Source organism: Homo sapiens, chromosome 21 (assembly GCF_000001405.40).
Source record: "Homo sapiens chromosome 21, GRCh38.p14 Primary Assembly".
In the NCBI taxonomy this organism is placed as follows: Eukaryota; Metazoa; Chordata; class Mammalia; order Primates; family Hominidae; genus Homo; species Homo sapiens.
This window is the reverse complement of record NC_000021.9, coordinates 36,395,655-36,421,584: the sequence shown is the minus strand read 5'-3', so window position 1 is coordinate 36,421,584 and position 25,930 is coordinate 36,395,655. Positions and strand designations below refer to the sequence as shown.

Here is a 25,930-nt window from a genome sequence, read left to right as displayed (position 1 = left end):
AACTCGGAGGGCGGAGGTTGCAGTGAGCCGAGATCACGCCACTGCACTCCAGCCTGGGCAACAGAGCGGGACTCCATCTCAAAAAAAAAAAAAAAAAAAAAAAAATACCAGCACTTGGGAGGCTAAGGTGGGAGGATCGCTTGAAGCCAGGAGTTCAAAACCAGCCTGGGTAACATAGTGAGACCCCAGGAATGAGATCTACAAAAGAAAAAATTTAAAAATGAGCATGGTGGTGCATGCCTATAGTCCCAGATACTCGGGAGACTGAGGCAGGAGGATTGTTTGACCCTGGAGGCTGCAGTAAGCCAAGATGGTACCACTGCACTCCAGCCTGGGCAACAATGAACCCCTATCTCAAAAGAAGAAAAAAGGGCCAGTCTATTACCCCCTCTGTATAATCATTGCTACAAATTTGTTACAGACTCTTTGAAAGGGGCAACACCTGTTGCTTCACGCCATCACTCAGAACTGAAACTTGAGGGAAAAACAGCCCTCTCTGCAGGGGACCCACATCAGTGGAAATATTTTCCCCTCCATGCTGACCTTGTCTACGCTAAGGCAGGACATAAGGTACAGGGGCCAGCAGAAGAAAGTGCCCTCCACAACCACCACCTCTCACAACTGAGTGCTTAAAACCACCACAGAATTTGCTAAAAGCAGGACATGGAAGGTAACAGCTAGATGACACGTGGTTCTGCCTTCGATCTGGGACAAAAGGGCCAGGCCAGAGACGGAGGACCACCCAACTGCATCCCCAGAGGCTGCGCACAGGCAGGCGTGGGGTCGACTCCCAAGGGGAGGGTGACAGGGAGGCCGGGTGACGAACAGGGCAACTCCAGACAAAATGGGGATTCATGCCAAGTGGGGAAGCAGTGGGGGACCCCAAAACACCCAGCCTGCCCAGAGAACACACCGGGTACCCTAGATGACAAGGATATCCTGCTCCTAGAAAAATCTAGAACGCCCCATCCGATCACTTTCCGTTCTCTCTTGCGTTGCCTCTCGACCTTCTCGGCTCGGCCCTTCTCACTCCAGGCTACAACCCAGTCTCCAACCCAGCTCTCCCAGGGCGCCTCACCACTCTGTTTTCCCTGTATTTACTTATGTTGGTCTCCCCAAGCCAGGATGTAGGCCCCAAGAGGGTGGTGGCTTTTGTCTGGTTTGTTCCTGAGGTGTCCTCTGGTACCCAGAGGATATTTGATAGACATTTCTTGAATGAATGAATGAATGAATGAATGAATGAATGAACAAAGGCATGGCCATGCACATACTGCTTTCATCATCCTCTCCCACCCCTGTCTGCTCAACAGTGTTCCACTCTGGGTCTGGCCATCGGGGCGGAAGCCGGTATCTAAGGCCACTCTGTTCCCAAGACCGGACAGGGGCGCGGATCACTTAGAGGAGGTGGGGCGGAGACATGGGACCTTCAGGCCTAAGGAAGCAGGACTGCTGAGTGGATTCAGTGGGGACAGTGACCCCCAGTGGCCACTGAGAATTTGTGCATGAAAACAAGTGTGTTACTTCAATATGCCAGGCAAGGGAAGTACAATCTGGCTCAGCTTCCAGCTGCATTAACTCAGTCTCTCGTTTCTCTGTGGGTGACCCCCCCCTACATTTTCTCTTACCCCTCTCCCCTACCAAAGCAAACAAAGTCCAAGGTTTTCTAGCTGTAGAGACTTTTTCTGATGAAGAAACAGGCACAGACCCATGAAGTAATTTGTCCAAGTCTGTCTGTCCTACACACACACCCAAGGTTGAACTGTAGCTTAATAACCAGGGAGGCTGCAGAAGTCCTGGGAGACCCCAGACCAGGGAAGAAGGGGCTGGAGCAGCTCATCCTCCACCTCCTCCCTCTCCCCATTTGATGTTTCCAGAGCCAAGGACTTGGAACCTATGTTGTTTAAGTGAACGCTGACAACTATTTAGGTAAGGAGGGCCAAGGGCATCGTTACACAGATGTGCTTTCAGCAAAGACGACGGAAGTGGATATAAGGGAGGAAACTGGAGTAAACGAGGACCCCAGGAGACTTTCTCCCCTGCCCCGTGGCACATCCTCCTGCCCCTCTCTGCTAGAGGGCCCTGGCCCTGTGGGCACTTGCTGAGGATGGCTGGGCCCGTTATCCACGATAACCCGAGGAGGCACCGCATACCCCTGTCCACCGTACGGGCCACTGCATAAAATGAAGGCTTCACCCTCTGCTGCCCACGCTGAGCCTCCAACTTTCTTCCTTCAAACGCCGACCTATCCTCACAATCCCAGATTCCAGGGAAGTCAGGTCAAGTTCTCCCAAGCAGTCTCCCCAAGCCTGAGACTGATTTTCTTCTAGGCACCCCCAGCAGCAGGAACTAATATTCAACAGTAGAGTTGCTAGAGACATCTGGAAATACTGCTCAAAACAGAAACAACGACCCCTCCAAGTACAGATCCAGAACCATGAGAAGGATCTTCAACCCAGCAGCCACTGTAAGGTGGAAGCCTGCCCAACCTTCAGGCTGGGCTCCCTTTGCAAAAGCTTTCCCAATACACTGCCCAGATGGTTGCAGGCAGTTTTAGACTATGACACTGAAGTGACTTCACTTGGTCTTTTATTGCCAATTTTGATTTATATTTAAGGATGATGGCTGAGAACAGGCAGGCCATCAGGGGTCCCCCACCCCAACTCCCACAATCAATGCACAAGAAACAGATTTGTAAAACCTAATACTGTTCTTCTTTTTCTCTTTTTTTTTTTTTTTGAGACAGAGTCTCGCTCTGTCGCCCAGGCTGGAGTACAGTGGCACCATCTCAGCTCACTACAAACTCCGCCTCCCGGGTTCAAGCGATTCTTGTGCCTCAGCCTCCCGAGTAGCTGGGATTACAAGTGTGTGCCACCGCGCCTGGCTAGTTTTTGTATTTTTAGTAGAGATGGGGTTCCACCATGTTGGCCAGGCTGGTCTCAAACTCCCAACCTCAAGTGATCCACCCACCTTGGCCTCCCAAAGTGCTGGGATTACAGGTGTGAGCCACCACACCCAGAAAAACCTAATACTGTTCCTCCCCAGGTATGGCCAGGAAGCAGGCTGCTCAATAAGGACAGGGGACCCATGGTCATTCATCTGTCTGCACAGGATCAACAACTGCAAACCGCACCTCACGCCAGCCACATGACACTGAAAGCTGTCTCTTTTCAGAAGAGCTGATGGCACCTCCTGCATACTGTCCTTCAGTCCGCGGCCCCAGCAAAGGAGGATGTCAATCAGTGACGGGGCAGAGATAATCAAGAAAATGCTTTCGGCTGGGCGCGGTGGCTCACGCCTGTAATCCCAGCACTTTGGGAGGCTGAGGTGGGCAGATCACGAGGTCAGGCGTTGGAGACCAGCCTGACCAACATGGTGAAACACCATCTCTACTAAAAATACAAAAATTAGCCGGGCGTGGTGGCGGGTGCCTGTAATCCCAGCTACTGGAGAGGCTGAGGCAGGAGAATCCCTTGAACCTAGGAGGTGAGGTTGCAGTGAGTGGAGATTGCGCCACTGCACTCCAGCCTGGGTGACAGAGCGAGACTCTGTCTCGGAAAAAAAAAAAAATGCTTTCAGTGGAAATGCATTTAACCAGAACAGACCGTATCCAGGGAAAGTTTTTTCCCTTAGATTTCTCAATCTTGGCTGCGCATCAGAATTACTCCAGGAGCTTTAAGAAATCCTAATATTCAGAACATACCCCAGACCGATTAGGCCAAATCCTCCGAAGCGGGAACCCAGGCACTGGTATGTCAGCTCTTAGGTGATTTCAGTATGCAGCTACAGTTGAGAACCACCCGTCAAAACAGATACCATTTGACCAGGCATGGTGTCTCACGCCTGTAATCCCAACACTTTGGGAGGCTGGGGAGGGAGGATTACTTGAGCCCCAGGAGTTCGAGACCAGCCTGGGCAACATGGAAAAACCCCGTCTCCCCTAAAAATATAATAATTAGGCCAGGTGCAGTAGCTCACACCTGTAATCCCAACACTTTGGGAGGCCGAGGCAGGCAGATCATCTGAGGTCAGGAGTTAGAGACCAGCTTGGCCAACATGGCAAAACCCCATCTCTACTAAAAATATAAAAATTAGCCGGATGTGGTGGCACACACCTGTAATCCTAGCTACTCAAGAGGCAGAGGCAGGAGAATCGTTTGAACCCAGGAGGCGGAGGTTATAGTGAGCCGAGATTGTGCCACTGTACTCCAGCCTGGGCGACAGAGTGAGACTCCATCTCAAAAAAAAAAGAAAAAAAATATATATATACACACATACTTGTGTGTGTGTGTATATATATATATATGTATCATATATATGTGTGTGTGTGGGTGCATGTGTGTGTGAAATTAGCATGGCATGGTGGCACATGCCTGTAGTCCCAGCTACTCGGGAAGCTGAGGTGGAAGGATCGCTCGAGCCCAGGAGGTCGAGGCTGCAGTGAGCTGAGATAGCGCCACTGCACTCCAGCCTGGGCAACAGAGCAAGACCCTGTCTCAAAAAACAAAAAAGATACTTTTTTTGCTTTGAAAAACCAATCTAAAAAACTAACCTATTTAGATACCAAATTGCATATGAAATAAAATCTCAATTCTCTTTTTAGAATAAATAGATCCACAAAAATGCTAAGGAAATATACTACAACATTAACGAGGGTTACTTCTGGTGGGAAGATGATGGGTGATACCCATCTTTTTCACTTCACTTAGTTACTAAAAGAATAAGCATCGTCACCTTTAAAATCAGAAAACAAACACAACTACCTTCCAAAGTTTAATCAATCAACTCCTTAGAAGTGAAATCTAACAATCACTTCAAATACTCTAAAATTCGACAGAGTAAAATCTCAAATTACTTTCTCATCTTCCTAATTCTTATTGAAAAGGAGTCCCTCCATGAAGTGTGTGCACTTTCACGAGGATGCCAGGGAGGACTCACTGATTTTCACACTGGATAACGTTGAACCGCTCCAGTTTCAGAAACTCATCAAAAAGAGGATTTACTACGTTAAAACGTTCATGTCCCAAGTTAAAAATGGATACTGAATACAACAGCATCCATATTTCTGGAGAAAAATCAGTACACATGTCACTTCTGTTATAGAAATCCATTTACAGTGTGTCCCGCTCCATGGAAGCCCTGGTCTCAGGCACCTCCAGCTTTACCGTCTCCCTGCACACACCGGGAGCCTGGTAGGCTTCGAGCAGAAGCCGAGGTCCCATCAAGGGTCCAGACTTTCCGTGCCTCCTTTGTTTTCATCGAGTCTGGGCCGCTTTAGCTCTGGGGGACTGCCCTGAGCGTCTCCAGGCGTCTCTGCAACATTAACAAACATAAGGTTGGCAAGTAAATGAAGAATTCTGGAAGTCAAGGGCTGACATTTACAGAATACAGAGCCAAGACACGGAACTGAGCTGCCTGGCAAGATCCTATACTGATATAATGGAAGTTCTATAGAGTGGCTCTCAACCAGGGGCGATTTTGCCTCTCAAGGGACAGTGGGCAATGTCTAGTGGCATTTTTGAATGTCATGGGCAAGCTGGGCGCGGTGGCTCACGCCTGTAATCGCAGCACTTTGGGAGGCTGAGGCGGGTGGATCATTTGAGGCCAGGAGTTCAAGACCAGCCTGGCCAACGTGGTGAAACCCCCGACTCTACTAAAAATACAAAAATTACCCGGGTGTGATGGCGCACGCCTGTAGTCCCGGCTACTCGGGAGGCCGAGGCAGGAGAATTGCTTGAACGTGGGAGGTGGAGGCTGCAGTGAGCCGAAATCGTGCCACTGCATTCCAGCCTGGGCGACAGAGCAAGACTGCATCTCAAAAAAAAGAAAAAAAAAAAAAGAATGTCATGGGCAAGAAGTAGCAGCCGGGGATGCTGTTAAACATCGCATAATACACAGGACAGTCCTCCACAACAAAGAATTGCCTGGCCCACAAGGTCAGCAGTCATCAGGTGGAGAAACCTGAGCTAGACAATCTCCTGCTGAACCCACTCCCTGGCTCACCAGGATGCTCTCACTGGCCAGGTGCCCCCTGCTGAGGCGTAAACAGGCAGCCGGCGGGTTTAAACAATGGTTCCAATAAGATGCATCCCTGCTGTCTCAGAACTGACTTAAAATTAGGCGGCATTAATTTCCAAAAGAACAAAAGAAAAGATACTCTACCTTTCATTATATTAAACCAGTAACAATATTACTTACCTGACTGAATTTCTTCTGTAGAAGGGGTGGAAATCACACTGGTTGGTACAGAACTTGGTGGAGTGTCCGTCTTTAAGGGTGTTAAGTTTATTCTCCTTGATTTAAAAAAAAAAAAGTAGAGGGGTGATGGCTCATTAGTATCACAGGAATTGTTTATGTATGATACCAACCTTCAAAACTACCAAAGGAAATACTTAAATTTTCAGCTGAACTTCTGGTTCAAGGCATTAAATAGTAAGATGTGCCCACTTGTTTAATAACTGAGGATTACATTCATGTATTAAGTTAAACCATCACATTTATAACAGTCAACTTAAACCATAACCAGTCATCGAAAAGTTTCAAAACCTGTGTTCTGTTCATTACCGACGGTCTTGTGAACACTCTGCTGGCTGCTGTAAAAGGCAGTCAGATATGGTTTCTATATATAGAAAGCGTCGAAACACAGGTAATACTTTTTTAAAATCCAGAGCGTTGGGCCGGGCAAGATGGTTCGCACCTGTAATCCCAGCACTTTGGCGGGCTGAGGCGGGCAGATCACTTGAGGTCAGGAGTTTTCGACCAGCTTGACCAACATGGCAAAACCTCGTCTCTACTAAAAATGCAAAAAGTCAGCCAGGCATGGTGGCGCATGCCTGTAATCCCAGCTACCTGAGAGGCTGAGGTAGGAGAATCACTTGAACCCAGAAGGCGGAGGTTGCAGTGAGCAGAGAGCATGCCATCGCACTCCAGCCCGGGCAACAGAGCAAGACCCTGTCTCAAATGAATAAATAAATAAATAAAAACCCAGAGTCTTAATTTTCAACAACTATTCTTGTTTGCAAAAGATTACATCTTCAAGAAGCTTGGTAAATAATTCAGAAGAAATCAAGAGGGGAAAAATAATTTAATACCAAAAATAGTTCAAGGAATACCTTCCGTCACATAAAAACAAACAGAAAAATTGTAAAATACATTGCTAATCTGCAGAAAGAAATGAGAGATTTTAAGAGGGCGTTAAAGCCAGCAACCCATACACATATTATGAACTTGCCAAAGAAGACCTATTGGCGCAGGAGAGGCTGAGAGGCACAGGGCGCTTCTGTCCAGCTCACCATCCCCACCACTCCCCTCTGCATCCCCCTTCCCAGCTCTCCTCGTGACTCAGTTTATGGGAAGGTTGGGAGGCAGAGGGCTTGGTGGAGAAGGAACTATACAGGATCAGAGGGGTAACTGGACATCAGCTGCAGGGGAAGAATGGAAACAGGAGGCTGTGCTGCCTGACGGCAGAAGGATGTGCTAAGTGGCTCTGTATCCAGTAGAAGTGGCAGACACAGGCGTGCGTGCCAGCCACACTGATGTAAGCAGGGAAGAAACGACTCTGCACCTCCTGGGGATTATTTGTTATCAGATCAGGACCTCCGTTTCTCACCGACCAGGCTGCTGGAGACATCAAACGCAGTCTCAGGAAGACACTCCTGGAATTGCCTACATCCTGGGCAGAACAGCATAAATAAAAAATGGGACCTGCTTCCTGTCCTTGGGGGCTCACAACCAGCAGGGGAACTGGAGCATCAAAGCACCTGCTATGGAATCTGATGTGTGGTGACAAGGGAAAGGCTGAAGGGCCACAAAGACTGCAAACAGAGAGGGTACATTGAAATGGGTCTTTCAGGAGACTCCTGGCATCACCAAGAGGAAGAGGTGTCCAGGGCTTCCCCAGAGAAGGGAAGGACAGAGGCCTCAAAGGGCAGAGAGTGCTCTGGGAAGATGACATTCAGGACTAGGCCGGAGATGAAGGCCACAGACTCAGGAGAGAGAGTGGCCACAGTCCTGGATGACAGGCTGCAGCCAAATCACAGTCTGTGTGTGTGCATAGGAGCCTGGGCTTTATCTGACAGGCAGAAACTGGAGGAACAAACAGAGGCCTATATGCAAGAAATGACACTCTCGGATTTGAAGTTAAGAATCTCTCTGGCAACCTACTGGCATGAAGCATTCACCGCCTGAAATTTCACCTGCAGCAGGGTGGGAGCGTTCTGTCTGCATTTTGTGTTTCATTTTGCAATGACATCTTGTTCCAACAAGTTCTTACCGGGGTGTTGTCTTGCTCCAGGCTTGCAGTGTGTTCAGAGTGACCCTCCGGGATGGGTGGGCTTTTGTGTTTTGACTACTGGGCTGCAGGGTCTTCTCCTCCGAAGGCCCCGGCAAGGGGCTTTTGACAGCAGGAGTGATGGAGGGAGGGTCCCTGATGACTGTTGGGGCTGGGGCCTGTCTGGCCTGAGGGGGAGTCGTGCCGGGGCTGCTGGGGTCTTGGGTTCTGCTGGCAGGGGTTCCCTCTACCGGTCTGGGTCCTGGCGAAGACCCTCGATGTGTCTGACTCTTGGTTTTCTTTGCTGTATCAGGAGTTCTCATGTTCAAAACTGGCTTCTCTTTCAAAGGAATTCCAAGTTCATCTTTCTCAAATGTCACAAATGAGCAGTAACCGTCCGTGGAAGAAATGGCCAGGAAGGCACCATCGCTGGACCTTCGTCCCCAAAACAGGGAAAAGTTACAGACCTTACCAACACTCTCACATCTACTTAGAAGAGGGAAGTTCGAGCAAAATCACAAGCTTGTTTGAAGGCAAAAACCAGGGAAAAGATACAACTGGAAAAGAGTGTGTGATAGCGACTCACTCATGCAGTTTCATCGCGATTTGCTAAGTCGCTGCAACCTATCTGTGCTACTAGCAATTTTCACTTGAATAGGCCGGGTGCGGTGGCTCACGCCTGTAATCCCAGCACTTTGGGAGGCCAAGGCAGGTGTATCATTTGAGGTCAGGAGTTCAAGACCAGCCTGGCCAACATGGTGAAACCCTGTCTCTACTACAAATACAAAAAAATTAGCCAGCCATGGTGGTGGGCGCCTGTAATCCCAGCTATTCGGGAGGCTGAGGCAGGAGAATTGCTTGAACCCAGGAGGCGGAGGTTGTAGTGAGCCACGATCGTTCCACTGCACTCCAGCCTGGATGACAGTGAGACTCTGTTTCAAAAAAAAAACCTCACACTGGGCCAAGCAGGCCACGGGGGCTGAATTGGGGACCAAAAGGTGGCAGAAGGACAGTGCTGAGTGACATCCTCTACACAGGCCCAGCTTGGGGCACTTCCCTGTCCTGGGCAGCAGGGGCATGCAGGGAAGGGCTTCCTCCCAGAGGGCCTCAGAAGTCCCCAAATGGCCAGGGAGTCTACAAGGCCTCCCCTCAGTTTATCAAAGTCCAGTTAACCCCACAAGGCAATCTGAATGCCATCAAAACCCACCAGTGTGAAAATAAGAAGCAAGTATTGTGGCAAACTAGAAACGGCTTTCCTTTTAATGTTGATTCCTTTAAAAAACAAAATTGGGGCCGGGCGTGGTGGCTCACGCCTGTAATCCCAGCACTTTGGGAGGCTGGGGCAGGAGGATCGTTGAGCCCAGGAGTTTGATACCAGCCTGGCCAACAGGGCGAAACCCCATCTCTACTAAAACCACAAGAATTAGCCAGGCGTAGTGGTGCGCACCTGTAATCCCAGCTACTTGGGAAGCTGAGGCATGAAAATCACTTGAACCTGGGAGGTGGAGGTTGCAGTGAAACGAGATCACACCACTGCACTCCAGCCCGGGTGACAGAGTGATACTTGGTCTCAAAAAAATAAATAAGAAACAAAATTGGTGAATATGTCCCCCAAAGCCATCTTTAGTAATGAAATGCTCCCTAACCCCGGGGTGTCTTCCAGGATACAGCCACGGTCTCCTTCACTCACTCTCCCTCATTAGCAGCCACTCACCATGAAATGTCACTGAGGGTGTGGTAATGTATATTAGACACGTAACCAAAAGGGAAGGACTGCTGGGTGTCATACAGAAGCACGGAATCCTCCGAGGCCACAGCAAACACCAGGCGGTAGGGCAGACTCATCAGCTCCACACCTGGGGGTTGGGGACAGAGACAAAGTAAAACCACAGAAACAAGGCTTCTGACCAGGTGCAATGGCTCACGCCTAGAATCCCAGCACTTTGGGAGGCCGAGCCGGGTGGATCACTTGAGCTCAGGAGTTTGAGACCTGCCTAAGCAACATGGCAAAACCCCGTCTCTATCAAAAATACAAAAATTAGCCAGGCGTGGGGGTGTGTGCCTGTAGTACCAACTACTCAGGAGGCTGAGACAGGAGAATCGCTTGAACCCAGGAGGCGGAGGTTGCAGTGAGCTCAGATTGCACCACTGTACTCCAGCCTTAGTGGCAGAGGAAGACTCTGTCACAAAAAAAAAAAAAAAGAATATTTATAAGAATAAAAATACATCCAGCATCCACTAAAGTAAAAGTCAGTGTCTAGTATCTAATCAAAAAGTACCAGGCAAACAAAAACAGGAAGATATGACCCACAATGAGGAGAAAAAAATCAAAACCAACCTGTATACAAGGACATTAAAAGAGCTATTATAACTGCACTCTATATGCTTAAGAAGCAAGAGGAAACTGAGGCGGGCAGATCACCTGAGGTCAGGAGTTCGAAACCAGACTGGCCAACATGGCAAAACCCTGCCTCTACTAAAAATAAAAAAAGTAGCTGGGTGTGGTGGCGCACACCTGTAATCCTGGCTACTTGGGAGGCTGAGGTGGGAGATTCACTTGAACCTGGGAGACGAAGGCTGCAACGAGCCGAGATTATACCACTGCACCCCAGCCTGGGCAACAGAGCAAGAAAAAAAAAAAAAAGAAAGCAGCAAGAGGAAAAATGGAGCATGGAGAGGCACAGAATATATAAGGAAAACCCAAAGTGAATCTCTAGAGATGAGAACCACAACAAAGAAAAACACACTGGATGGGACCAAGGGCAGAGCATGCAGAAGAAAGGGTTAGCAAACTCAAAACACAGCTATAGAGACTTCCAAAATCAAACACTGGAAGAAGAAAAAAACAAAAAAAGTAAGTAGTATCAAAGGCCAGGAACTAATTTCAAAGGACCTAATATAATACATGTGTAATGGGAGTATTTGAATAAGAGAAGGGAATAACAGAAATAACATTTGAAGGAAAAATGGCTGAAACTTCCCAAATGTAATAAAAACTATAAACGGATAGATCTACGAAGTTCAATGAACCCCAAGCACAAGAAAACAAAGAAAATGGCTGGGCATGATGGCTCACGCCTATAATCCCAGTACTTTGGGAGGCCAAGGTGGGTGGATCACCTGAGGTCAGGAGTTCGAGACCAGCCTGGCCAACATGGCAAAATCCCATCTCTACTAAAAATACAAAAATTAGCTGGGTGTGGTGGCATGCGCCTGTAATCCCAGCTACTCTGGAGGATAGGAGGGAGAATCCCTTGAACCTGGGAGGCAGGGTTTGCAGTGAGCCAAGATTGCACCACTGCACTCCAGCCTGGGCGACAGAGCAAGACCCCATCTCAAAAAAAAAAAAAAGAAAAAGAAAATTGATAATGAGAGACATAGACAAACAAAAGGAGTACGTCCATTCCTTTTAAAGTGCCTTAAGCAAGAAAATATATCCTGAAGAAAGAAAAAAAAAAAAAAACTGACATGTATTTTGATAACCCCAGTCTTTGCTCCAGCTTTTAAAAATAACTAAACCAGGCCGGGCACAGGGGCTCACACCTGTAATCCCAGCATTTTGGGAGGCCGAGGCAGGTGGATCACTTGAGTCCAGGAGTTCAAGACCAGCCTTGGCAACATGGTGAAACGCTGTCGCTACCAAAAATACAAAAATTAACCAGGCTGATAACCTGGTCTCAAAATAAATAAATAAATAGATTTAAATGTAAAAATAAAATATTTTTAAAATAACTGAACTGAACCAAACCCAGATACCCACCTTTCCCCATAAGACAGAATCCAAATCTCCACCCCACTCTGGTGACCTGTTTCGGAGAGAAAACATAACACACCCCTGAGGCTCTGAGGATACCTGTTTCCACCACTGGCCTCAGTTCAAAGTAGACCGGACAGCAGCGAACAGCAAGAGTGGCTTTTCCAGGACATGGAAGATGAGCGATGGGCCTAATGGATTAATTGCAGTGTTAGGAAAAGGCACTGTGACTAAGCAAAAGCAAAAATAAAAGGTAAACATTTTGGCAGGGCGCGGTGGCTCACACCTATAAACCCAGCACTTTGGGAGGAGGAGGCAGGCGGATCACCTGAGGTCAGGAGTTCAAGACCAGCCTGGCCAACATGACGAAACCCCATCTCTACTAAAAAAAAAAAAAAAAAAAAAATACAAGCCGGGTGCAATGACTCATGCCTGTATTCCCAGCACTTTGGGAGGCCGAGGCAAGCGGACCACTTGAGGTCAGCAGTTTGAAACCAACCTGGCCAACATGGTGCAACCCCATCTCTACTAAAAATACAAAAATTAACTAGGAGTGGTGGCGGGCACCTGTAATCCCACCTACTCAAGAGGCTGAGGCAGGAGAATCACTTGAACCCGGGAGGCAGAGGTTGCAGTGAGCAGAGATCGCACCATTGCACTCCAGCCTGGGCAACAAGAGCGAAACTCCGTCTAAAAAAAATGTAAACATTTCAAACATTTCCTTGACTGCATACCTTTTAAGATTCTTCCTGGAGAAAACATAAGTGGTATTCATTACATTTTCACCAGATTCCACACATCCAGCTGGGGAACAGGGAAGGGAGGGAGAGGAAAGAAAAGTCACTGTTTCAGCAAACTGTTCACCAACAGAAACTCAAGAGCCTTCAGGTCCGGTTTGCAAAATACTTCCCCCTGCAGTTATATTCTCTGGACAATGTTGTGACAGAGCACAAAAACATATATTCCGGCACTGTCTGTTCTCAGCCCTTACTCCAGTTCTACCTACCTGTCATCTCCACCTACCTGTGGGCAATCCCCGGGGACCTGGTTCTGATCTTGGGCGAGGAGAACATAGTGAGCCTTTGCCATAGGGCACCGTTGAGCCTCCAGGCAATTCCTCGATTGAAGCACCGTGACTAGATTCAGCTGCCCAGGCTCCTTTCTCCCTAGGACCCTCATCTCTATTTCCTGGATTCCAGCCTTGGATGCCATCCAAAGGCTGAGACTCGCCTTTCCCCAACTTCCCTATCCAGCCATGAGGCTGCCAGGAGACCTTGCCCTCTGCTGAAACCTCCAGCCTCCTTCAGAACCTGACTTCACTCTGGGGAACAGTCCCCATCTGAGAGCTCTTCTACACTCACCCCCTGCTGTACTTAAAACAGTTCAGCCCTGTCAGAGTGACCATCATACACTGCTGCTCTTGGAAACATCTCCCTGTTTTATGCTATTTCTTGATACATATACACACACGTAACTTTACATATGACTGTTTCATATCCACCAGGGAGGGCAGTAGACAGTATCAATAGTCTTTTTTATTATTATTATTAATACATTCTACATAGCTGCCCTCTTTTTTTTTTCTTTGAGATGGAGTCTTGCTCTGTCACCCAGGCTGGAGTGCGATGGCGTGATCTTGGCTCACTGCAACCTCCACCTCCCAGATTCAAGCAATTCCCCTGCCTCAGCCTCCTGAGTAGCCGGGATTACAGGCACCTGCCACGATGCCCGGCTAATTTTTGTATTTTTAGTAGAGAGGGGGTTTCACCATGTTGGCCAGGGTGGTCTCGAACTCCTGACCTCAAGTGATCTGCCCTCCTCCGCCTCCCAAAGTGCTGGGATTACAGGCGTGAGTCACTGCACCCAGGCCCCTCTTTTCATCCCACTCCATTCTTCCATCCCCAAGAAATCCATTTTAACATTCAACAAACCATTATGTCATCTGTATATTTCCTCCATGCTCACATAATCATTACAATCAGTTATAACTCAATCACATGTATACCTCTATGATATTTTTTATTGAGTCCATTTGTTTTACAAAACTGACACTTCTCCTTATTTTGCTTGTTTCAATCAACTACTCATGAAAGTTAACTTGCATAGCACTGATGCATTATTTTTTTGTAGCTGCATAATATTTACTGCAAGATTCATTCACCCAGCCTCTGTTAATGAGTATTTTTTTGGCTTTTGGTTTTTTACCACTATAAACAATGCTTGCAATAAGCATCCTTGAACATATACTTTTTTTTTTTTTTTTTAGACAGAGTCTCACTCTGTTGCCCAGGCTAGAGTGCAGTGGTGCGATCTTGGCTCACTGCAACCTCTGCCTCCTGGGTTGGAGCGATTCTCCTGCCTCAGGCTCTTGAGTAGCTGGGATTACAGGTGTGCATCACCATGCCCGGCTAATTTTTGTATTTTTAGTAGAGACAGGGTTTTGCCATGTTGGCCAGGCTGGTCTTGAACTCCAGACCTCAGGTGATCCACCCACCTTGGCCTCCCAGAGTGCTGGGATTACAGGCTTGAGCCACCATGCCCAGCCAGTTTCCAGTCTTAATTGGGTCTTCTCCATTCCTAGAATGTCCTCCTATATTTCCTTACAAGAGTTTTCTATTTTTACCTTTTGTGTTTAAGTACTGAATTCACCTGGAATTTATTTTTTACATCTAGGCAAGGGGTCCAATTTTACCTTCTTCCACATAGCTGGCTACCCCAGCACTACTCATTCAATAATAGAGTCCTCCCTTTGCAAGATCCATCTCTTGTACAACATGGTGATTATGGTTCATAACAATGTATTATATTCCTGAAAAATGCTAAGAGATATAAAGCGTTCAAACCACAGAAATCCTAATTATGTGAGACCATGCTATGCTAATTAGCTAGATTTAGTCATTCCACAACATATATATACTTCAAAACATCATGTCATACACAACTACATACAATTTCATCTGTCAATTAAAAAAAAAAGGAGGCCAGGTGCAGTGGCTCACGCCTGTAATCCCAGCACTTTGGGAGGCTGAGGCGGGTGGATCACCTGAGATCAGAAGTTTGAGACCACCCTGGCCAACATGGTAAAACCTCATCTCTACTAAAAATACAAAAATTAGCTGGGCATGGTGGCCGGCGCCTGTAATCCCAGCTACTTGGGAGGCTGAGGCAGAAGAATCACTTGAACTCAGGAGATGGAGGTTGCAGTGAGCCAAGATCACGCCAATGCTCTCAAGCCTGGGCGACAAGGGTGAAACCCTCTCAAAAAAAAGAGGAATAGGTCTTTGTCCAATCTCAACACTTCCCAACCTTCTTAATGACATACTCTTGTCCTATCTGCCTTCAGTGTCTAATTCTCTTGAGAATTATTTAAGTAACATACAATTAATTACAAATAAATAATAGATTTTTTTCCACTGGAACAGCACCTGAGGTCATATATTAAATCGCCTTATATCCTGAGATCTTTTTCTGGATTCTGTGTTCTGGTCCACTAATCTATTTGTTTGGTCCTATAGCAACACCATATTGATTGGCTAAAAGTAGTGTTATAGGATCTTCTGATATGTGGTGAGGCAAATGCCCTCCCAAGTATCACTGTTTTTTTTTTAATACTTCTTTGGCTATTCTTCAGCATTTATTCTACTAAACAAAGCTGAGATTTCATCCAATTAAAAAAAAACTTTAATGCAATTCTAATTGGAAATGAAATTAGTATGTTAATTGTTAGAACACGACATATCTTTCCATTTGTTCAGAACTTGCTTTATAACCTTCAGTAAGACCTTCTAGACTTCTCCATAAAGGTCCTGCCCCTTTCTCATTAAATTTACTTCTGCCTGGGTGTGGTGGCTCACACCTGTAATCCCAGCTCTTTGGGAGGCCGAGGCGGAAGGGGTGCTTGAGCCCAGGAGTTTAAGACCAGCCTGGGCAACATAGCAAGACCATGTCTCTACAAAAAAATAAGAAAATTAGCCAGGCATGGTGCTACACGCCTGTGGTCCCAGCTAGTAGGGAGGCTGAGGTGGGAGGATTCCCTGAACTCAGGAGATCAAGGCTGATGCAGTGGGCCATGATCACACCACTGTACTCCAGCCTGGGTGACAGAGTGAGACCCTGTCTCAAAAAATAAATAAATAAATAAATTTACTCTATGTATTTTGCAGGTTTTGCACTACTCTGAATGAAATATTTCTCCTCCTTCCATTTCTAAGTACTCACTGCCAATATAGACGAAAGATAGGAATTTTTATATATTTTATAATATCCAGCCATCTTATCAAATTATTTTAAAAATTCTAATACTATTTTTAAAATCTCTTGGATTTTCTAGAAATACAATCCTATTGCAGTTTTTTATCTGTTCTTTTCCAATCTTTGTAATTTCATTTTCCTGTTTTTCCCACACTTACTAACACCACAAAGAACAATAACGTTGATAACAGACATCCATTTGCTACTTGATTTTAATTGAAAATATTTTTAGAGTGGCCAAATAGTAAAGGATTTGCTACTGGGGCTGGGCGCAGTGGCTCACACCTGTAACCTGTAATCCCAACACTTTGGGAGGCCAAGGTGGGCAGATCACCTGAGGTCAGGAGTTTGGGACCAGCCTGGCCAACATGGCGAAACCCCATCTCTACTAAAAATACAAAAATTATCTGGTTGTGGTGGCAGGCGCCTGTAATCTCAGCTACTCAGGAGGCTGAGGCAGGAGAATCGCTTGAACCCAGGAGGTGGAGGCTACAGTGAGCCAAGATGGTGCCACTGCACTCCAGCCTGGGTGACAGAGCGAGACTCTGCTTTTTAAAAAAAAAAAAAAAAAAAAAAAAAAAGGCCAGCGCAATGGCTCACACCTATAATCCCAGCACTTTGGGAGGCCAAGGTGGGCAGATCACCTGAGGTCCGGAGTTCGAGACCAGACTGACCAACATGGAGAAACCCCGTCTCTACTAAAAATACAAAATTAGCTGGGCGTGGTGGCGCATGCCTGTAATCCCAGCTACTCCGGAGGCTGAGGCAGGAGAATGGCTTGAACCCGGGAGGCGGAGGTTGCTGTGAGCCGAGATCGTGCCATTGCACTCCAGCCTGGGTAACAAGAGCGAAACTCCATCTCAAAATAAATAAATTAATAAATAAATAAAATAAATAATTTAAAAAAAAAAAAAGGGCCGGGCGTGGTGGCTCAAGCCTGTAATCCCAGCACTTTCGGAGGCCAAGGCAGGCGGATCACAAGGTCAGGAGTTTGAGACCAGCCTGACCAACATGGTGAAACCCCGTCTCTACTAAAAATACAAAAATTAGCTGGGAGTGGTGGCGCACACCTGTAATCCCAGCTACTCAGGAGGCTGAGGCAGGAGAATCGCTTGAAACTGGGAGGCGGAGGCTGCAGTGGTGAGCCAAGATCGTGCCACTGCACTCCAGCTGGGCAACAGGGCAAAACTCAGTCTCAAAAAAAAAAAAAAAAAAAAGGATTTATTACTGGGTTTAGTGAATAACTTTTAATAACTAACTTTAGTAAATATAACCTAAACAACTACTTATTCTTAGTCCTGAGACTTCTTGGGCCAAAGTGTCATTCGCACATGTTCCGCAGTGTTCTTTAAAGCCCCACCCACACAGCTGCATGTGTGATTCACGCCCTTCTCAGGCCCTCCCTGGCTCAGCTGGGATGGGACTCAGTGGCAAACCAAGACAGTGCCCTCCCGTTTGGCCCAACCCTGGGCTATGTTGTCATCTCTATGCACAGGATGGTCCTGGAGCCACGGCAATGAGCAGACATTCTCCTCTGAGAACACTGTGGCCACAATAATGCCTAGCCTTATCTTGCTGGGCTGAGCCCCTTGCCTTCCTAGGGACATAGGGACAATAAACCTATCTAGTCCTTGCTACTTGGCTGACCTTTTGATTTTGACCACTGCTGCTTCCACAAGTTTGTCCATGAGTCTAATCCTGTCACAAATGCGCTTTATTGAGGAGAATAAAAACAATAAAGGAGCTTTATCTTTGGCTTTAGCGCTATGGCTTCCATACACATGTTAATGAATGAAAAAGCATTCATTGAAAGGGTTTAAATAGTAAAGTTTCTTTTTTTTTTTTTTTTTTTTTTTTTAGATAAGATATCACTCTGTCGCCCAGGCTGGAGTACAGTGGTGTGATCTCGGCTCACTGCACCCTCTGCCTCCTGGGTTCAAGCGATTCTCCTGCCGCAGTCTCCCAAGTGGCTGGGATTACAGGGTATGCGCCACCACATCATTAATTTTTGTATTTTTAATAGAGAGGGTGTTTCACCATGTTGGCCAGGCTGGTCATGAACTCTTGACCTCAAGTGATCCGCCCGCCTCAGCCTCCCAAAGTGCTGGGATTACAGGTGTGATCCACTGTGCCCAGCCAAAAGTTAAATTTATCTAAGAGAAAATGCCTATCATTTTAAACTCATTACTCCCAAACTTTTCTGCACATTACAATCACTTGGAAATCTTCTTAAAATTCCAAAAGCCAGGCCACCCAGACCAATTACATACACTACAATCTCTAGGGATGGGACATAGGCACCAATGTGTTTTTTGAAGCTCTCCTGGAGGTTCCAATGGGCAGGTAAGTCGGGGACCCCCACTCTAATCAGCATTCACTGAGCTGATAAGCTGCAGCGTAAAACGGGAGCAGACATCCCCACTCGGCCATCATTCCTTTAAGTCCAAAGCTACGAAACACACCTGGCGTGAGAAGCAAAGATCCGTCGGGAGTGAAACTCAGTCTACGGAAGAAAGACTTCATGCTGTCGTCGTGAAACATCCGGTAGCTTCTTGCCTGTCGCACACAAAATTTATTTTTATTATTTTTTTTGTTTGTTTTCTACACACAAAGCTTAAACATTTTTCCAAATCTTTACACTCACAAATAAACGCTTCCCAACTGCTATATGTGCCTATGGTTTTCTTTACATAGTGTCATTTATTGTTGACATAATCATAAATGAAACTGAAACACATTACAAATCAAATAATTGTACAACACTGCAAGGGTAAACATTCATGAAAACTGACCACACATTTTTGTTAGGTAAAGCTATATGTATATATGTGTGTTTTATGTGGTTCTAAAATTATTTTTAAAAACTCTTAAGAACACAAACCACAGGGTCAATAGTGGCATGTCTGGGGCCTGAGACTGGCAGACAGTGGGAAGATGACCAGGAGACCTCTGCTTTCTATCTGTGTGGATTCATTAGAATTTCCAACTGAATGCACTCTTTAGATACAGAGTCTCGCTCTGTCACCCAGGCTAGAGTGCAGTGGCGCAATCATAGGTCGCTGTAACCTAGAACTTCTGGGCTCAAAGCAATCCTCCCGTCTCAGCCTCCTGGGACTACAGGCACATGCCACCACATCCAGCTATTAACAAATGCACCCTTTAAAAAAAGAAAATAGTGGATTATTAAACTGGTAATCATTAATCTTTTAAAACAACATTTCTTTAACACCTGTCTGGGACAGTTTTTACTACTATTTATAAACATCAAGCATTTGCCAGACATGGTGGCTCACACCTGTAATCCCAGCACTTTGGGAGGCCAAGGCGGGCGGATCACTTGAGTCCAGGAGTACGAGACCAGCCTGGCCAACATAGCAAAACCCCATCTCTACTAAAAATACAAAAATTATCTAAGTGTGGTGGCACACGCCTGTAATCCCAGCTTCTCGGGAGGCTGAGGCAGGAGAACCGCTTGAACCCAGGAAGCAAAGGTTGCAGTGAGCCAAGATCGTGCCACTGCACTCCAGCCTGGGTGACAGAGCCAGACACTGTCTCAACAAACAAACAAGCATTTAATTCTTAAGAACACAAGGAAGCCGGCATTACTATTCATATATATATATATGTAATAGATATATTTTTATATATATAAAATATATAATATAAAAATATATATTATATATAATATAAAAATATATATTATGTATAATATAAAATATATATTATGTATAATATAAAAATATATATTATGTATAATATAAAAATATATATTATGTATAATATAAAAATATATATTATGTATAATATAAAAATATATATTATGTATAATATAAAAATATATATTATGTATAATATAAAAATATATATTATGTATAATATAAAAATATATATTATGTATAATATAAAAATATATATTATGTATAATATAAAAATATATATTATGTATAATATAAAAATATATTATATATAATATAAATATATAACATATTAAAGTATATATTATATATAATATATACAAAAACATATATATACACATATTTTTTTTTGAGCCAGAGTTTCGCTCTTGTTGCCCAGGCTGGAGTGCAATGGCGCAATCTCGGCTCACCGCAAACTCCACCTCCCAGGTTCCAGTGATCCTCGTGCCTCAGCCACCGGAGTAGCTGGGACTACAGGCATGCGCCACTATGCCCAGCAAATTTCTGTATTTCTAGTAGAGACAGGGTTTCACCATGTTAGCCAGGCTAGTCTCGAACTCCTGACCTCAGGTGATCTGCCCACCTCTGCCTTCCAAAGTGCTGGGATTACAGGCTGAGCCACCGCACCCGGGAAGCATTACTATTCTTACTTCACAGGTGTGACCTCTCAGTGCCTGTCAGCGCCCAGCCCACACTGCCTTACCCTGGTTCCTTGGATGCATTTGCACCATGTCCCCGTGTGAAGCCAGTAACCAGCTTGCTCCCCGCACCTCGCTGCCTGCCTCGGTAGCCTTGATTCCTTTACAAAAAGGGTCCTATTTTCATTTGCCAATTATTTGAAAGTCAAAATCCTTCCTATTCCTAAATACCAGTGTTTTGGCTGGGTCTCTGCTGTCTGCTAGCAAAACTCTCTACCTACCTGCCAAGATAGTAAACTGCCTGCTGCCAGACAGATCCAACGCTCGACCTGCCTGTCTTCTGTTGCCTCGTGTAGGGATCTTCCCAGATCAGTAGTGACCAGCCCTTGCTATACCTGAGAATCATGGAGGCCCTGCTTACCTCCAGCCAAGTGAATCACGCCACTCAGGTTGGGGCCAAGGCATCCATATTTTTATTTTTATTTTATTTTTATTTATTTATTTATTTTGAGACTGAGTTTCGCTCTTGTCACCCAGGCTGGAGTGCAATGGTGTGATTTCAGCTCACTGCAACCTCCACCTCCCAGGTTCAAGCAATTCTCCTGCCTCAGCCTCCTGAATAGCTGGGATCACATGCATGCACCCGGCTAATTTTATATTTTTTGTAGAGACAGGGTTTCACCATGTTGGCCAGGCCAGTCCCAAACTCCTGACCTCAGGTGATCCACCTGCCTCAGCCTCCCAAAGTGCTAGGATTACAGGCATGAGCCATCATGCCCAGCCTTATTTCATTTTATTTTTGAAATCGAGTCTCGCTCTGTCGCCCAGGCTAGAGTGCAGTGGCATGATCTCCGCTCACGGCTAAGACCTCCGCCTCCCAGGTTCAGGTGATTCTCATGCCTCAGCCTCCCGAGTAGCTGGGATTACAGGCATGCACCACCACAGCTGGCTAATTTTTGCAATTCATTGAGATGGGGTTTGGCCATGTTGGCCAGGCTGGTCTCAAACTCCTGACCTCAAGTGATCCGCCCACCTCAGTCTCCCAAAGTGCTGGGATTCCAGTCATGAGCCACGGCGCCCGGCCAGCACCCATATTTGTAATTCTTCCCAGGTGATTCCACCGTGCAACCAGGGTTGAAAACCACTGTCCTGTCCTCCATCAGTGGCTCTACCCTGGTCTCCAGATGTCCCCATTTCCATACAGACTAGCCCACCACAGTAACTGAGCCTTGACTGTCCAAAAGGAAGCCTTATTGTAGTTCTGGAATCGGCTCTTTGTGGCCAGTGATTTGGCTGCAAGGGTATGGGAGGAGCTCATGACTTCCTAAGTCTCAGTTAAAGCGCTGCTGAAAAAGAATGGCAAAATATTTTATACCTCTCCTTCAGCCCCTATTCCAGACAGCATCTTCGAAACATTGAAAGCCACACGCTTCTTCTGTATACTGTATACTCGCAGCACCCTGAAGAAAGAACATGTCTGATTTACCACTTCTAGTAAATGAATTATGCTTCACACAGAAACAACTTATTACCAACAGCCTATTACCACCGCAACAGTTTTCAGCCTGCAAAAGCTTTTACCAATGATATTCACAACTGGGTAATTAAGAAGGAAGCAAGTATTAACAACCTAAAGGATATTACAGGCCGGGCGCGGTAGCTCACGCCTGTAATCCCGACACTTTGGGAGGCAGAGGCGGGTGAATCACTTGAGGTCAGGAGTTCGAGACCAGCCTGGCCAACATGGTGAAACCCCATCTCTACCAAAAATACAAAAAATTAGCCGGGCGTGGTGGTGGGCGCCTGTAATCCCTGCTACTCGGGAGGCTGAGGCAGAAGAATCACTTGAACCCGGGAGGCAGAGGTTGCAGTGCTGAGATTGTGGCACTGCACTCCAGCCTGGGCAACAGAGCGAGATTCTGTCTCAAAAAAAAAAAAAAAAAATTGGTAAGTCACATTACTCCCACTAGCTAATCAGATTGTTTTACTGATGACTGTCTGAATAAAACACACTTGTCAGAAAATAAATGGCATTTAGAATACAACAGAAGATTCTATGAAAAATAAACACTAACTCCTCCCTACCACTTTTATTCCAAGGCCATCTTATATTCAATTTGTTTTATTTAAAAGTAGTCAGATAAATATTCAAAAGGACTATTAAGTAATATAGGAGGCACTCCTCATTTTTTCTAACTCTTTGTTCCAACAATACAATTAAATGCAATTATGCCAGTAAACACGACAACAAGACTTCTTTTCAGAAAGCACAAAAATAGTTTATTTTTATATCCATTTAAATGGAGTCATTAAAATAACTGGGCTGGGCGAGGTGGCTCACGCCTGTAATCCCAGCACTTTGGGAGGCCAACGCAGGCAGGTCACCTGAGGTCAGGAGTTTGAGACCAGCATCGTCAATACGGTGAAACTCTGTCTCTACTAAAAATACAAAAATTAGCCAGGCATGGTGGTACACACTTGCAATCCCAGCTACTCAGGAGGATGAGGCAGGAGAATCGCTTGAACCTAGGAGGTGGAGGTTACAGTATGCCGAGATCGCACCACTGCATTCCAGCCAGAGTGACAGAGTGAGATTCTGTCTCAAAAAACAATTTAAAAAAAATAAAAATAAAAATCACCGTAGCACACCTGTAATCTTAGCACTTTGGGTGGCCAAGGCAGACAGATGGCTTGAGCTCAACAGTTCGCGACCAGCCTGGGCAACATGGCAAAATCCCATCTTTACAAAAAAATATAAAAATTAGCCGGGTGTGGTGGTGCACACCCGTAGTCCCAATTACTTGGGGGGCTGAAGCATGAGGATTGCTCGAGCCCAGGAGGTCAAAGCTGCAGTGAGCTGTGATTGCACCACTGCACTCCAGCCTGGGTGACAGAGTAAGCCCCTCTCTCAAAAAAAAAAAAAAATAGTAATAATAATAAAGATTTACTAAGTTCAGGGCGGGGCATGGTGGCTCATGCCTGTAATCCCAGCACATTGGCCAAGGCAGGCAGATCATTTGAGGTTAGGAGTTTGAGAACAGCTTGACCAACGTGGTGAAACCCTGTCTCTACTAAAAACACAAAAATTAACCGGGCATGGTGGCATGTGCCTGTAATCCCAGCTAATAGGGAAGCTGAGACAGGAGAATCGCTTGAAACCAGGAGGCAGAGGTTGCAGTGAGCTGAGATTGTGAGATTGCGCCACAACACCTGCCTGGGTGACAGAGTGAGACTGTGTCTAAAAAAAAAAAAAAAAAAAAAGATTTACTAAGTACAAACTTCGTGTAAGGCACTTGTCCTAATTAATTTCCAATTTCTGATTATGTTGTAAGAATGAGTATGAAAACAAGAACAAAAGAATCAAAGTTAGACTATGATAAATCTTGGCTAAGTTACGATAAATACCTCTCTTCAGAAAATTCCAAGTAAATACAAAGAAATTCCAAGTAAATGCCAAAGCTGAATTTACCTGTCACAGCTCAGAGTAGCAACATATTGACCCAAAGGGTCCCAGGTTACTCCTTGGACATAACTTTTATGTTCATTAAAAATTGATATCTTTTGTCCTACAAAAAAAACACACACACACGCACCAAAACAGCATTACCAAAACCTGTTTGAGCCCAAATAGTATAAACTATGACTTAAATATTATTCCCTTTACCACGCATCACTCAGCAGGCAGTAAGTGAGAGACTCTGTACTAAAACCCTGTGTCAGGCTCTGGGGTCACAAAGATGACTTCATGCAGTCCCCACCCTCAGGGAGCCCACAGATCAGACAGACCCATCAACAAGCAAGGATCACACATGTGGACCGGGGGAGGGGAGCTGACAGCACAGGGCGGAGGGTCTGAGAAGATCTAAGTTCAGTTCCCCAGGTCAGGCAGGATGAAGAGGGGATGAAGGGTGGAAGAAGGTATTGTCAGGGAATCCCTGGGTTAAAACAGCTTAGCGAAGTGAATATGGAGCAGGGAGAGGTAGCTGAGAACTGCTAATGGGTACAGAGGAGGGCCAAGAACAGAAGATAAGGAGGAAAGGAGAAGTATTACAGAGACCTTGTGTGTAAGGAAAAGGCTGTGAATTCAAGCTGAGAAGCTGTCTGCATTTTAAAGGTGAAACAGGTTTAGAAGATGACAAAGAGGGTCACTAGTTAGGAGGTGACCGAGTAGACCAGGAGAGAGATGAGGAGGGCCCAGAGCAGACAATGCGAACAGGGATGGAAAAGGGACTTCGGGGAAAATATTTAGCACACAGAGATCGCCTGCATAAAAAGACAAGAGAGTTATGAAGCCTTGGCCATTCCTTTTTTTTTTTCTTTTTTTTTTGAGACAGGGTGTGGTTCTGTTGCCCAGGCTGGAGTGCAGTGGCGCCGTCAGAGCTCACTGCAGCCTCAACTTCCCAGGCTCAAGAGACTTAGCAGCCCTAGTAGCTGGGACTATAGGCATGTACTACCACACCCAGCTAATTTTTGTATTTTTTTGGTAGAGAGAGGGTTTTGCCATGTTGCCCATGCTGGTCTTGAATTCCTAGGCTTGAGCAATCCTCCCAAAGTGCTGGGATTACAGGCCTGAGCCACTGTGCCTGACAAGTCATTCTTTTTTTTTTTTTTTTTTTTTTTTTGAGGTTTTTGGTGAGGTTCAGTAACAACCCATCACACTTATGATAAAACCTAAAATCCTGGCCAGTCGCAATGGCTCATGCCTGTAATCCCAGCACTTTGGGAGGCCGACGCAGGCAGATCGCTTCAAGTCAGGAGTTTGGGACCAGCCTGGCCAACATGGGCAAACCCCATCTCTTCTAAAAATACAAAAATTAGCTGGGAGTGGTGGCGGGCGCCTGTAATCCCAGCTACCTTGAGGGCTGAGGCAGGAGAATTGTTGAACCCGGGAGGCAGAGGTTGCAGTGAGCTGAGATCGCACCACTGCACTCCATCCTGGGGAACTGAGGGAGACTCCATCTAAAATAAAAAAAAAAACCACACAAAACAAGACAGAACGGAGGATGGAGGATGGCTTGGCTGGACAGCATGGTACTAAAAAGAGCAAAAATTTTTATAGACTGGATGAGAACTGGGCTGACACAGTGCTGCGGTGGCAGCCAACAACAACTGCCCTACCCAGGTACTTGAGTTGTAGAATTGGCAGGAAGAGGTTTGGGAGAAAACAAAGTTTGAGTAAAGGATGGCAGGGGATAAAAATGATTAGGAGTTAGCCATACTTGCTTTTGGCATTTCACAGCTATTTTCACACCACTATAACTTTTCACATGTCCACTGTCTCCCCAACTAGAGAACAGAATGTCCCTGGCTTTCCTTGATCTTCTAA

The 25,930-nt window shown here is 45.9% G+C and overlaps 1 protein-coding gene across 2 annotated transcripts in view, besides 1 other annotated feature; it reads right to left on the bottom strand.

Moving 5' to 3' along the window:
* Window positions 1-2,569: 2,569 nt before the first annotated feature.
* CHAF1B (chromatin assembly factor 1 subunit B) overlaps window positions 2,570-25,930 on the bottom strand; it is a 33,624-nt gene continuing 10,263 nt past the window's right edge. The window contains exons 6-14 of one of the 2 annotated variants that reach the window (NM_005441.3): window positions 24,074-24,170; window positions 21,980-22,064; window positions 18,734-18,827; window positions 12,755-12,824; window positions 12,120-12,211; window positions 9,981-10,122; window positions 8,270-8,701; window positions 6,196-6,290; window positions 2,570-5,310 (exon numbers count right to left, since the gene is read on the bottom strand). In NM_005441.3, coding sequence (NP_005432.1) covers window positions 5,219-5,310; window positions 6,196-6,290; window positions 8,270-8,701; window positions 9,981-10,122; window positions 12,120-12,211; window positions 12,755-12,824; window positions 18,734-18,827; window positions 21,980-22,064; window positions 24,074-24,170 — 1,199 coding nt within the window. In that variant the 3' untranslated portion in view covers window positions 2,570-5,218. The remainder of the gene's footprint in view (window positions 5,311-6,195; window positions 6,291-8,269; window positions 8,702-9,980; window positions 10,123-12,119; window positions 12,212-12,754; window positions 12,825-18,733; window positions 18,828-21,979; window positions 22,065-24,073; window positions 24,171-25,930) is intronic. The other variant, XM_047441000.1, reaches the window with a different exon arrangement.
* Window positions 11,852-13,051: an enhancer, noted in NCBI's record as "CDK7 strongly-dependent group 2 enhancer chr21:37780832-37782031 (GRCh37/hg19 assembly coordinates)". NCBI's record gives its function as "activates an origin of replication core promoter dependent on BRD2, BRD4, P300/CBP, MED14 and CDK7 cofactors, with strong dependence on CDK7, by STARR-seq in HCT116 cells {active_cell/tissue: HCT116}" and the evidence as "EXISTENCE:reporter gene assay evidence [ECO:0000049][PMID:35650434]".